The 14,528-nt window shown below is 39.2% G+C and overlaps 1 annotated feature.

The window, feature by feature from the left end:
- Positions 4,005 to 4,205: a silencer, noted in NCBI's record as "peak3821 fragment used in MPRA reporter construct". NCBI's record gives its function as "represses an SCP1 promoter by STARR-seq MPRAs in K562 erythroleukemia cells {active_cell/tissue: K562}" and the evidence as "EXISTENCE:reporter gene assay evidence [ECO:0000049][PMID:32103011]".

The raw sequence follows: 14,528 nt of genomic DNA, 5'->3' as shown, positions 1-14,528 counted from the left end.
CTCACCTTGGCCTCCCAAAGTGCTGGCATTACAGGCATGAGCCACTGTGCCCAGCCAAGCAATCTGATTCTTAAGTTAGTTTTCTATGTCTTTTAAAATAAAAGTACAAGAATCATCATCCCCAGAAAGGTATGTGAATGGCAATCACATTCAGATTTTCTAGAAAAGTCCAAATTTCAAGTATTTAACCTCATACTTCTCACATATGTATTTGTCAGAACTCTAATCCTAATTTGAGCTTGAGCAGATACAATCACTGTAAATATGGTCTTCATCAAAAATGTAATACATTGGCATTCTGGCTTATTAATCAATTCCTTGTGAATCTGAGTATTGTTACTTAGACCACAAAGAATTGGATCCCTGACAGTTCAGTAGAAACAAGCACTACCTAGGCAAGTAATGCTGCAGGCAAGCATTTGAACAGTCGTGGCCTCATAAAGGGCAGACACACCCCTGGCAGCCAGCCAGGCTCATTAACAGCAACCCAGAGACTTGCCGAGGTCCTTCTAAGAATCTGATTTCATGAGTCACGCTCCATGGGCACACCCCAAATTTCTGTTTGTTTTGGAAAACTCAGTTACCCTTTACAAAGAATAACTCCTATAAATGATAATGAGAATAATTAAAGCTACATGTGCAAAAACAATTAACTTATTACTGATGCTATCAGCGGATGTTGTCAACTAATAAATCTGTCAAGTTGGCAAGTGAAGAAAGGTGGCATGCTTTCAAACATAAATATAAAATGTTTAAGGAAGAAAAACTGGTAGGCATAACCGCGCCCAATTGTACTGGTTGCATTTCAAATGTCCTGGTCGCACTGATGCATATGCTTGACATGACAGGCAGCACCAGGAAGGAAAGGGAGAGGGCTTGGAAGGAGGAGGGTGCAGCCCCAGGATGGGTGGCTGGAGTGAACTGGGAGACAAAGGCAGGATTTATTTCAGAGGCAGGGCCCACAGAACACTCATGGATAGGTGGGATGTTGAGGGAACAGGCAGAAATCCAAGAGAAGGACTTAGATTTTTTACTTGAGCAATTGGGTAACTGGAAGAACATTTGGTAAGAACTGAGGAACTGGGGGAGGAACAGGAATATCAAGAGTTCTGTGTAGGACATGTTAAGTTGAAGGTGCTTACAGGATAGCCAGATGAAGCATCAGGTGTGCAGTCAAAGATATGAGTCTGGAGCAGCACATCCTAAGTCACCTCCTGCACCAACACAGAACTTCCAGGCCACTCACTTGAGCTCTCCCAAATAGTTTCCAAGTGTCATTATGTTAATAACCTATGAGCTTGAACACCAGATTCAAACCCCACTGCATGGCTTTTAAAGACCATCTCAAGGGCTTGACACTCCAGGGAGCCAACTAAAGATGCCTGGTCCTACCATCAACCTCCACCCCATTTTTTATAGAAAATGTTTCTACCTGTCCTAAGGCAGGGTCCTGCCCCACTCCCAGGCCCCTTTAGATCCCCAATATTCCTCCTCCCTGAACCAAAACCCTCATCATCTTCCAGCATGGGTGGGGCCTCCATTCTTGCTTCTGCTCCCCTGAGCAGAAGCAAGTTTCTCCCAACTTGACCTGATTCTCCTCCTAAGTACCAGTCACTGCTTTGTTTCTGGAATGAGAGAAAAAGACAGAGTGAGAGAGACAATCCAGAACTCTTGCTCACTCACAGCTAGGCTGGGCATCTGGGAGGATGGCTGTGTCCATGGGAACCTGGGAAAAGCCACACCCTTGGCACCCTGGTCACCCACCTGTCTCCCTGGCAGATTCCGCACTGCTCTCTTGCACCCTCTACCAGGGCTAACCGGCCTGCTCACTCTCCCCAGCATGTCTTCCCACGCCCACTCTCTAATTATTACATTCCCTTCACATAAACTGCCCTTCTCTCCCAATCACCACATGTTCACTTCCCACCCAGCTGTCAAAGTCTGGCTCAACCTCATTCTTGAAAAGGAAAAAACAAACAAACAAACAAACAAACAAGCAAAAAACCTATGATGGATTAAGAACACACTTCATTCCAGGAACATGCTTATCTCCTCTAACTCTCACAACAACTACAGCAGGTAGGTGTTATCACACCCATCTCTCAGGTGAGAAAACAGGCTCAACGAGTGCAGGAGGACACAGCAAGTCAGTGACAAAGCTTAAATTCAAGCCCAAGCCTGTTGGCAACCAACGTCTGTACCCTTGATAGCTACCTCATTTACCACCAAATCCAGTGGCCTCAGGCCTGGCTGCACACTGGGATCACCTGGTGCCCAGACCACATCTTAGACCAGTCATACAGAATCTCTTGGGCTGGGATCCTCCACGGTACATTTTAAGGGTCCCCAGGTGAGTCCACCATGGACCCAGAATTGAGAACCACTACCCTATACCATCTCCTTCTTCATCTCTTCTAAGGCATCTCTTACTCGCTGTGAACTCCCATACCACTTTGTTCAATCATCCAATCATTCATTCATTGAGTCAGTTAGTCAGGAGCTACTCACTAGTCCCCTGCCAGGTCCTAGTCATGACATAGGGCTCTGGGGACCAACAAGAAGCAGGACCCATGCCTCCTGCTCTCATGGAGCTTGCTCTGCAGCAGAGGAAGCAGTCAGTGAGATGTAGCAAATGTGAAATGTGCACAGATGGGAAAAGCAAAACTTTAAAACTTTTAGGACAAAATACACAAGAAATCTTTGCAACTTTGGGACAGGAAGGAACAACATTCCTTACACATGACACCAAAGGAATCAACCATAAATAAAAAGGTGATCAATTTGACCTCATTTAAGTGTTAAGCTTTTTTCATTGAGAGACACCATTAAAAATTAAAAATACATGCCACAAACTGGGATACAATATTTACAACACTTATGTCTCACAAAGGATTAGTTTTCAGAATATATAAAGAACTCCCGGCCGGGTATGGCCGCGCACGCTGGAATCTCAGCACTTTGGGAGGCCAGCGGATCACATGAGGTCAGGAGTTCAAGACCAGCCTGGCCAACATGGCAAAACTCCGTCTCTACTAAAAATACAAAAATTAGCCAGGCATGGTGGCGGGTGCCTGTAATCCCAGCTACTCAGGAAACTGAGGCAGGAGAATCACTTGAGCCCAGAAAACAGAAGTTGCAGTGAGCTGAGCTCACATCACTGTAAGCCTCGGTGACAGAGTAAGACTGTCAAAAAAACGAAAACAAAAACAAAAACTCCTACAAATAAATAAGAAAAAAATAGCCCAGCAGGAAAAAGTATATACATTTCATAAAAGAATAAATACATTCTCTCAGTTTTCTAACATATATTTTTTAAGAGTAAATACAAATGGCTAGGAAACATTTTTTTAAATGCCCAACCTCATTAAAAATTATAGAAGTGAAAATTAAGCCACAATAAGATACGATTTTATACCAAATACAGTGTCAACACTTTGCAAGTCTGACCTCACCAAGTGTTACCAGACGTGTGCACTGACGTGGCTGCTGAGATACTGATGGTGGGTGTGTAAATCTGTACTACAAACAATTGCAATAAAATGTAATAAATATACAATAGGTGGAGCAGGAAGTGACCTGCAACCATATAGCAGATAGGGCAGGAAAAAGCCTATGAAAGCTGACATCAAAGGGATAAGTTCCAGTTACCCAGCTGAAGGGAAGGAGGGTGTTTCAGATAGAGGAAGGATAAGCATGACCTATTCAAGGCCAGTGAAAGAAGCGTGCAACGGCCAAGTCAGGAGAACCTGAAATTGTGTCAAAGAGCTTGGATGCAAAGAGCCGTGGGAGACTATTGGGGGTTTTAAGCAGGGATATAATATTCATTCAAGCATGCAGTAAAAGGTCACTGGCACCTGCCATGGGCCAGGACTCGGGCTCTACATGATTGCGTCTGTTTTGGAAATATCACCCTGGCTGTGAGATGAAGAACAGGTAGGAGGGTCACAAAACTTGAAGCAGAGAGACTGTTGAGGAAGTAAGCTGTTTTTGTGTGGACTGTGGCAATCACAGAGGCAGAGGATATAAATGCACAGAGACACAAGGCATGTGGGAGGCAGAAGGAATCAAATACAATGAGTGATCAGATGTGGGGTTAGAGTGGTGAGTGAGAAGACATACTCAAGGTGACACGCCCAGGTATCTGGGTGGATGGTAAGACATTCATGGACTAGGAATCGAGGAGGAGGGTGGGGAATGGACAATACGTGCAGTTTAGAAGGGGTAGACAAAAGAAGATTATACAGGAGACTGAGAGAGGAATAGACAAAGGAATCCCGGTGCAGTATTACAGAAACTGGGGTGGGAGGGGGTTGTAGTTCAAGAAGGAAAGAAAATTGTCAAATAGTATGAAATGCTGCAGAGAAACTCACGGATTTTTTTTTTAAGCTTAGAATTATTCATTGACTATGTGAATAAGAATAACTTTTATGAAAGAAGTTTTGCTTAAGTAGTAGGAAGAAGCAAAATTGTTGAGGGCTGATGAGTGGGAGGAGAAGTAAGTGAAGGCACTCTTTCAAGAGAAACAAAGCAGAAGGTGAGGAGAATACTAATGAAGGAGTTACGGCCTTCACTATTTTGTTTTGCTTTAGATAAGCAAGACTTGAGTGGGTCTGGTGAGGAGAAACAAGTAGAGTACAAAGTTAAAGGAGAGACAGACAGAGATAGAGATAGGGACAGAGAGAGAGACAGAGACAGAGCACAAAAGAGCAAGGTCCCTGAGAACACGGGCCTTCTGTTTAAACCCCAGCCAGATGTATTGCAATTCAATTCCAGTACTAACCACCCAGAGTTTGTGTAGACTCTACAAGTTAAAGAGCATGGTCCCCAACAAGACTGCTTCTACGTCAGATGCCAGGCACACTTCAGGGGTCCCCAAGCCACTCATGTTTTTTGAATGACTGCCATAAGTTCAAAAATTCCCACAATTCTCTCAGATTCAATAACTGGGTATAACAACTCATAGAACTCAAGAAAATGCTATCATTATTATTACAATTTTATTATAAAGGATACAAATCAGAAGGACTAGCCAAATGAGGAGACACATAGAGAGAGGACTAGTAAAAAACAGAGCTTCTGCGTCCTACCTTCAAGGAATCAGGATGCACCACCCTCCCAGCACATCAAGTGCTCATCAACCAGGAAGTTCCTCTGAGCTCCAATGTCCAGAGATTTTAGGGAGGATTCATTACATAGGTATCATTGATTAAATCATTGGCCATGTACTTGAACTCAATCTCCAGTGTCCCTCTTCTCCCTAGAGGTCTGAAGGGTTGGCTAATATCATGTGGCTCAAAGCCCCAACTCTAATTACCTTTTTGGTCTTTTCAGGGACTAGACCCCATCCTGAAGCTATCTACAGGCCCTGCCATGAGTTAGCTCATTAACATAACAAAGACACTTATATTACTCAGAAAATTCCAACAGTTTTAGAAGCTCCATGTCAGGAACCTGGGACATAGATCAAATTCTTTTTTTTTTTTTTTTTTTTGGAGACAGGGTCTTGCTGTGTTGCCCAGGCTAGAGTGCAACGACAGATCACAGCTCAATGCAGCTTCAACTTCCCAGGCTTAAGTGACCTTTCCACCTTAACCTTCCAAGTATCTGGGACCACAGAAAATGGCTAATTATCCTGGCTGATTTTTAAACTTTTTTTTTTTGTAGGGATGGGATCGCCCTGTGTTGCCAAGGTTGGTCTCAAACTCCTGGGTTCAAGCAATCATTCTGCCCTGGCCTCTGTGATGGTTAATACTGAGTGTCAACTTGATTGGATTGAAGGATACAAAGTATTATTTTTGGGTGTGTCTGTGAGGGTGTTGCCAAAGGAGATTACATTTGAGTCAGTGGACTGGGAAAGTCCACCCTTTCCCAGTGGACTGGGAGACCCACCCTCAATCCAGGTAAACACAATCTAATCAGCTGCCAGTGTGGTCAGAATAAAAGGAGGCAGAAGAACAGGGAAACACTAGACTGGCTTAGTCTTCCAGCCTACATCTTTCTCTCATGCTGAATGCTTCCTACCCTCGAACATCAGCCTCCAAGTTCTTCAGTTTTTGGACTCTTGGACCTTCAACCACAGATTGAAGACTGCAGTGTTGGCTTCCCTGTTTTTGAGGTTTTGGGACTCAGACTGGCTTCCTTGCTCCTCAGCTTGCAGATGGCCAATTGTGGGACTTTAACTTGTGATCATGTGAGTCAATATTCCTTAATAAACTCAGATATATATATATGTATCAGACATATATATATATCCTATTGTATATTATATACAGATATATAATATCCTATTATATACAGATATATAATATCCTATTATATACAGGTATATATATATATATGTATCATATATATATATCCTATTGGTTCTATCCCTCTTGAGAATCCTGACTAATACAGCCTCCCAAAATGCTGAGATTACAGGAGTGAGCCACAGCCACCATGCCCAGCCCCAAATTCTTAATTATACAACAATGGGTCCAGAGATCAGGGCCTGGGTAGGATGCAGCAATAAGAAAACAGATGGTGGATGGGGACACATGTTGGAAGTGTGGCAGGACATGGCTGAGGGAGCTCATAGGATGGTGTCTATTTTCATGGCTGAGTGTGAGGAACAGCATAAGGTCAAAATTTCAGGTCAATGGTGAGTTTTTTAAATTGTTGCTGTGAACCCCAAAAATCTGACCCAGGTCTCAGTTAATTTAGAAAGTTTATTTTTCCAAGGTTGAGAACACCCACCCACTCACGACAAGAGCATCAGGAGGTCCTGACCACATGTGCCCAAGGTGGTAAGAGCACAGCTTGGTTTTATATATTTTAGGGAGACGTAAGTCATCAATCAATATATGTAAGATGTACACTGGTTCTGCCTAGAAAGGCAGGACAACTTGAAGCAGGGAGGGGGCTTCCATGTCACAGGTAGGTGAGAGACAAACAGTTGCATTCTTTGAGTTTCTGATTATCCTTTCCAAAGGAGGCAATCAGATGTGCAATTATCTCAGTGAGCAGAGGGATGACTTTGAATAGAAAGACAGGCAGGTTTGCCCTAAGAAGTTCCCAGCTTGACTTTTTCCTTTAGCTTTGTGATTTGGAGGCCCCAAGATTTATTTTCCTTTCACATTTCCCCCCTTTTCTTTTTAAAAATCTTTTAGAGAAAGCATTTTAGAAGAAAATGAGTCTCTGGTCCCAGGTTTCATCTGATTGCTCAAGGCTAGGATGGTTTATTCCTAGACAGGTAGGTTCTGAGTTATTAGGAAAGTTCATTTTTAGCAGGTTGTGAAGTTTCATGTCCTGTGAAGAGAAAATAGGGGGAGGAAGGGAGGAAAACAACAATAAACAAAAGAACAATCTGTAAAATTGATATAGGCCACATTCCTCTGAAGTCTATACATCAGTAGGCACATACGAAAGTGGCTTATGTATGTAAATAGGTTGCTGTTGTTTTCTTCTGAAGTTTAAGTTGTCTAGCTTCAGTTTGGAGGGCTTTACAAAAGCATAGCTTAGTTTTCAGTGACTCTCAATTAGGAAAACTTGGGGTGGAAAAGAAGAAAAAAAATTGAAAACATTATTTTAAAGACCTATAGCCAAGAAAAATTAGAATTCAGTCCAAACTGTAGAAAATAATAAAAATTGAAAAACATTAAGCAAGACTAGAATCTACCAACAAGTGTACTATAGTTTTATGAAACAATTTTTCTCTCTCCAGTTTCCCATTTTTACTAGACAAATCATGGTAGGACTGATTTTCTTTATTATACTTGAGCTGTTTATTTGTATACAGTGCAGCAAGAATAACTAGTTTTTGACGGACTTTTAAATTGGCTTTGATGTAACTTTGTTCCATAGAAGGAATCTCAAATAAGACTTTTGTAAAGCTGAGCCCAGCCATGGATTTGTACCATCAAAATACCTATGAGTTGGGTGAATTCCTCTCCTCTTGAGATTCCAAGATAAACTTTGGGCTCCTGGGCCTGTCAGAGTGACATTCTTTAATTACCACAGGTCAGGAACCCTGTACGGGGACTGGGTAGACAAGATATTAGGCCAGTTTTCCTAAGGGGCTTTTATTGGCTCCATAAGTCAAGTTTGATTCCTTAAAGTAAAGACAGCATTGCAGTCAAAGCCTTGGTAAAATAAACAGTTTGTCCAACTGTGTTCTGTTACAAATGAAAATAGATTCTTATTGTACTTATGTAAATATATTGCCATAAGTTAAGAATACTCAAAAATTGTTTCCAAATATATATAGAGAGAAACAAATATGCTCCAAATTGTGTTCACTGGAGTATACTTAATTGTTAAAAGCTGTCAATATCTCAACAGAAAAATTTCCTTGACTCTGAAAAACAAAACGAAGGATCAACATTTTAAGAAAAAAAGTCAAAAAGATTACTTCAGCATTCTTTTAGTTCCATCTATGAAGTTAATTCCTGTTTTGCTTGATATTCATGAATATTTCAGCACTCCATGAATACTGAAAGTTTTTCCTCTATTCTGATGTCACAGTCTCCAAAGCTATCTTAAGCCTGCATTCAAGAGCACCCGTTAGAGTTTTATAGCTGATTATAAAACCACCTTCTAAAGAGGACCAAAGCAAGACAATTGTCTGTGAATGGCAAAAAGTTTTAGGGCAACCATAGTCAAAGACACACTTGATGAGGAAATTTGTTACCTCCATGGCACACAATAATTTACCATAACAATTATAATTATTACTGATAATGTACACCAAGTCATATCAGAATTATAGGAGTTTCCTATAATTTTGGAACACATACCAATAACATATTTATACAAATACAGCCCAAACAAAACCAAACACTATTTCATATTTGACAATGCTTCCTGTAAAATTTTTATACCAAATAAGCCACATTATGTTACTTTTTTTTTTTTTTGGACTTTAGGGAACCTAGTATCTTAAAGGATTCATTAGGTCATAAAAAGACATAATTTGTAGTTTGATTTTGGAAAGTTTGTCAAATTTGAAAGGTTTAAAACACTTGATGAAAGGTCATTGTAAAATAAGTCATTCATTTGACCAAAGTGATAACTCAAGGATTAAAAAAAAAAAAAAAAAAGGTGAAAGCCTTCATTCTTTGAGAGACGAGACTTAATTTTCCAAACAATAAGCCCTAATAAAAACAGCATGAAGCCAATTAAATTTGTTTTCCAAAATTGTATTAACAATCTATGAAATTTTTATCTTGACCATAGCTATAACTTCCAGAAGCCTTTTATAACCTCTATAACCTTTATTAAGGAGTAGGTTAATGCTTCAAGAAAACCTTGTTAATCTGACACAGGACCCATATGCTGATCTTGCATCAGTGTGGCTTGGACATCAATGATTATGATTAATTTATAGAGAAATTGAACTTATTTTATCTCTCAAAATTGGCCCTTACAATCTCACACACCCACCTCTTCCACTATAGTTCCTGGGCCTTGAGTTGAATAGCTTTAATTTCTGGCTCTGTGTTTCAAGAATGCAGTTTATTTTGATTGGCATTTTCTACCAGTCCTGAAGATGAGCCTTTAATTGCTGTCAGTATTTAAGATTTAGCAGGACTTGTCCTTTTAAGACCCAGGAGTCAAGCCCTATAACTCAATGTCACAAGGACTTTAAAAGCACATACATAAAGATATATGGATGTAATAATCATAATTTTTAAAAAATTGTATTAATCTCAGTGTTTTCTAAGCAAACCAAAACTTAATAATAATGGCATAGAAATTATTTCAATAAAACATAAAATCTGTTAAGCCAGTTACCAAAAGGCAAAAGAAAAGACCTTCTGCAATGCACAGAATATTATGTTGGAAGAAAACATTTCCTTTAGACCTTTAAGAAAACATTGTTAGCATCAGGACACAACAAACAGAATCTGAGGGTAAAAAACGTATATGAGCTGAAGGGAGTTGAAGGAGGGCATTACTATTTCCCACCCTTTTAAAGGGGAGAGAAAACCTAAAACAGCAAGATGCAATAAAAGCTGAACTTTGGGTTAAAAAAAAATTCTTAAGTCTCTTATAATTTATTAAGAGTGAATCAACCCCGTAAGAAAATTTCATTGTTCTAACCAATTTTTTAATATATAAGTAGTTTTTTAACATCAACCCAATCTCTAGAAAGACCATTATAATTTCCCTTTAATTATAGACAACTTTATCATATAAAAGTTTTTTTAAATAAATCCTCTTATTGTGACTTACACAGACTATTCATGACATGCTTGGACTTTCTGGTTTGTCGTGAACATCCTTTTCTTTCTTTCTTTCTTTTTTAAATTTTACTTTACGTTCTGGGATACATGTGAAGAACATGGAGGTTTATTACGTAGGTGTACATGTGCCATGGTGGTTTGCTGCACCCATTAACCCGTCATCTATATTAGGTATTTTTCCTAATGTTATCCCTCCCCTTGCCCCCCACCTCCTGACAGGCCCTGGTGTGTGACATTCCCCTCCCTGTGTCCATGTGTTCTCATTGTTCAACTCCCACTTATGAGTGAGAACATGCAGTGTTTGGTTTTCTGTTCCTGTGTTAGTTTGCTGAGAATGATGGCTTCCAGCTTCATCCATGTCCCTGCAAAAGACATGAACTCATTCTTTTTTATGGCTGCATAGTATTCCATGGTGTATACGTGCCACATTTTTTTACCCAGTCTATCATTGGTGGGCATTAGGGTTGGTTCCAAGTCTTTGCTATTGTGAATAGTGCTGCAATAAACATACATGTGCATGTGTCTTTACAATAGAATGATTTCTAATCCTTTAGGTATATACCCAGTAATGGGATTGCTGGGTCAAATGGTATTTCTGGTTCCAGATCCTTGAGGAATTGCCACACTGTCTTCCACAATGGTTGAACTAACTGACACTCCCACCAACAGTGTAAAAGCATTCCTATTTCTCCACATCCTCTCCAGCATCTGTTGTTTCCTGACTTTTTAATAATCGCCATTCTAACTGGCATGAGATGGTATCTCATTGTGGTTTCAATTTGCATTTCTCTAATGACCAGTGATGATGAGCTTTTTTTCATGTTTGTTGGCCACATAAATGTCTTCTTCTGAGATGTGTCTGTTCATATCTTTTGCCCACTTTTTGATGGGTTTTTTTTTCTTGCAAATTTGTTTAAATTCCTTGTAGATTCTGGATATTAGCCCTTTGTCAGATGGATAGATTGAAAAAATTTTCTCCTATTCTGTAGGTTGCCTGTTCACTCTGACAATAGTTTCTTTTGCTGTGCAGAAGCTCTTCAGTTTAATTAGATCCCATTTGTCAATTGGCTTTTGTTGCAATTGCTTTTGGTGTTCTAATCATGAAGTCTTTGCTCATGCCTATGTCCTGAATGGTATTGCCTAGGTTTTCTTCTATGGTTTTTATGGTTTTAGGTCTTATGTTTAAATCCTTCTTTTTTTTTTTTTTTTTTTTTGAGATGGAGTCTTACTCTGTTGCCCAGGCTGGAGTGCAGTGGCGTGATCTCCACTCCCTGCAAGCTCCACCTCCTGGTTTCACATCATTCTCCTGCCTCAGCCTCCCAAGTAGCTGGGACTACAGGCGCCCACCACCATGCCCAGCTAATTTTTTGTATTTTTTAGTAGAGACAGGGTTTCACTGTGTTAGTCAGGATGGTCTCCATCTCCTGACCTCATGATCCACCCATCTCGGCCTCCCAAAGTGCTGGGATTACAGGCGTGAGCCACCATGCCCAGCCATGTTTAAATCTTTAATCCATCTTGAGTTGATTTTTGTATAAGTTGTAAGGAAGGGGTCCAGTTTCAGTTTTCAGCATATGGCTAACCAGTTTTCCCAACATCATTTATTAAATAGGGAATTATTTTCCCCATTGCTTATTTTTGTTAGGTTTGTCAAAGATCAGATGGTTGTAGATGTGTGGTGTTATATCTGAGGCCTCTGTTCTGTTCTTTTGGTCTATATATCTGTTTTGGTACCAGTACCATGCTGTTTTGGTTACTGCAGCCTTGTAGTATAGTTTGAAGTCAGGTAGCACAATGCCTCCAGCTTTGTTCTTTTTGCTTAGGATTGTCTTGGCTATTAGTTTTTTCTAATTCTGTGAAGAAAGTCAATGGTAGCTTGATGGGGATAGCATTGAATCTATAAATTACTTGGGCAGTATGGCCATTTTCACGATATTGATTCTTCCTATCCATAAGCATGGAATGTTTTTCCATTTGTTTGTTTCCTCTCTTATTTCCTTGAGCAGTGGTTTGCAGTTCACCCTGAAAAGGTCTTTCATGTCCATTGTAAGTTGTATTCCCAGGTATTTTATTCTCTTTGTAGCAATTGTGAATGGGAGTTCACTCATGATTTGGCTCTCTGTTAGTCTATTATTGGTGTATAGGAATGCCTGTGATTTTTGCACATTGATTTTGTATCCTGAGACTTTGCTGAAGTTGCTTATCAGCTTAAGGAGTTTTGGGGCTGAAATGATGGGGTTTTCTAAATATGCAATCATGCATCTGCAAACGGAGAAAATTTGACTTCCTCTCTTCCTATTTGAATACCCTTTATTTCTTTCTCTTGCTTGATTGCCCTGGCCAGAACTTCCGATACTATGTTGAATAGGAGTGGTGAGAGAGGACATCCTTGTCTTGTGCCAGTTCTCAAAGGGAATGTTTCCAGCTTTTGCCCATTCAGTATGATATTGGCTGTGGGTTTGTCATAAATAGCTTTGAACATCCCTTTCTTAGCCAGTCACTTTATTCTAGCACAAAATTTTAGGTAAGATTCTTTCTTACCTAAAATTATTTCTCTTTAAGCTTTCTTACCAAAAAATACCACTTTATTTCTATAATTTTCTTTACATTTCCCTTATTTCCTTGTTCCTTTTACCTTGTTTTATACATAACTTTTCAATAAGCTTTGAATTAGACAAAAATTATTCACCTTTTTAAAAGGACACTTTTTTTTTTAGAAAGAATGGTTTCCTACAATATGTTTTTCTTGGAAAATACCCAAATAATGAAATACTTATTATTTAATTTAACTTTAGATTCTAAATTATGGTGAGTTTGTCTACAAATATTTATCCCATTACATTTACCTAATTATTTTATTTTAACTGTTTATCTAGATTATTTATGAAAACTGTGATAGCCATCATTTAAAGTTATGAAACTGCCATCACTGAGACAGTGAAAAAGATCTGACCTAGCTGACTCCATTTTGCTTCTAACGTCCAAGCTGTCCTTGTTCATTCCTGGGCATAGGCTGAATTAACTTTGGGAGGAACTTAGTTTATAGTTTAGCTTTGAAACAAAAGATGATAACAGTCATTTTCCAAAACAAACCTCCTTCCTGCCTGTGGACTAGACTGCCTAAAGCCACAAAGTTAGAAGTTATGGTAATTTTACTAAATAATGCAAGATGTAGCTATTTTCATTAAACCAATAGTAATGTCTTTTTAATCAAAGATTGAAAAAGCAAAGATTATTCTGTTTTGGCTGGGTTTATAGTTTTGTAACCCCTATGCCAAATTTTGACACCTTATAGTATTTGACAGGGATAAGTATAAAATTGCTTGATTGATAAATCCAAACAAAAATGTATGCTGGGAATGATTTTGTTTCAGGGCAGTCATTACTTAATTTTTAAAACTCTTATTTAAATTTGCAATGTTTTAAATGAACATCACTTAAAGTAGTAATCAACAGAGGTTAGGAGAACATAACAATACTCTTTCTCTTAGAAAATACAACAAAAATATAATTTTTTACAGTTTTGCTCCCAAACTTTTCTCTGTAATAACATGCCTTACTCACCTTTACAATAGGTTTGTTGTGAGAATCTTGTAATGTAAACCCTGGGTGTTCTGTGAAGCATTTTTAAACTTCTAGTTTACACTGACTCTTATTCAAGTGTTTTTAAAAATATATTTAAAAAACTGGCCAGGTGCAGTGGCTCACACCTGTAATCCCAGCACTTTGGGAGGCCAAGGCGGGCAGATCACAAGGTCAGGAGTTTGAGACCAGCCTAGCCAACATAGTAAAACCTCGTGTCTACTAAAAATACAAAAATTAGCTGGGCGTGGTGGCGGGCGCCTGTAGTCCCAGCTACTCAGGAGGCTGAGGCAGAAGAATCGCTTGAACCCGGGAGGCAGAGGTTGTGGTGAACCAAGTTTGCGCCACTGCACTCCAGCCTGGACGACAGAGCAAGACTCCATCTCAAAAAAAATATATATATATATATATATTTTAAAAACTGTTCTTCTCTTTCCAATATTTTTATAATTTCCAAGAGATTTTAAGGATCTTGAGAGAACATTTATTACAGAAATATCTACTACTATTACTAGTCAAGAAAGCAAACTTAGGTAAAGGAAAGACTTAATATTTTGTCCTATATACATCTTAATCATCCTAATGGTAAAAACTCACATGAAACTTCAAGATACAAGGTGATATGAGAACCTCAACATGGAAAGCTGTCACTATAACTACAACAGTGTACAAACATGCTTCTACTTTTACCTACATAAGCTGACAGATGTTTAAAATACTAGC

Source organism: Homo sapiens, chromosome 2 (assembly GCF_000001405.40).
Source record: "Homo sapiens chromosome 2, GRCh38.p14 Primary Assembly".
NCBI lineage: Eukaryota > Metazoa > Chordata > Mammalia > Primates > Hominidae > Homo > Homo sapiens.
The sequence above is the reverse complement of the archived record's forward strand: the minus strand, read 5'-3'. Positions and strand labels throughout refer to the sequence as shown.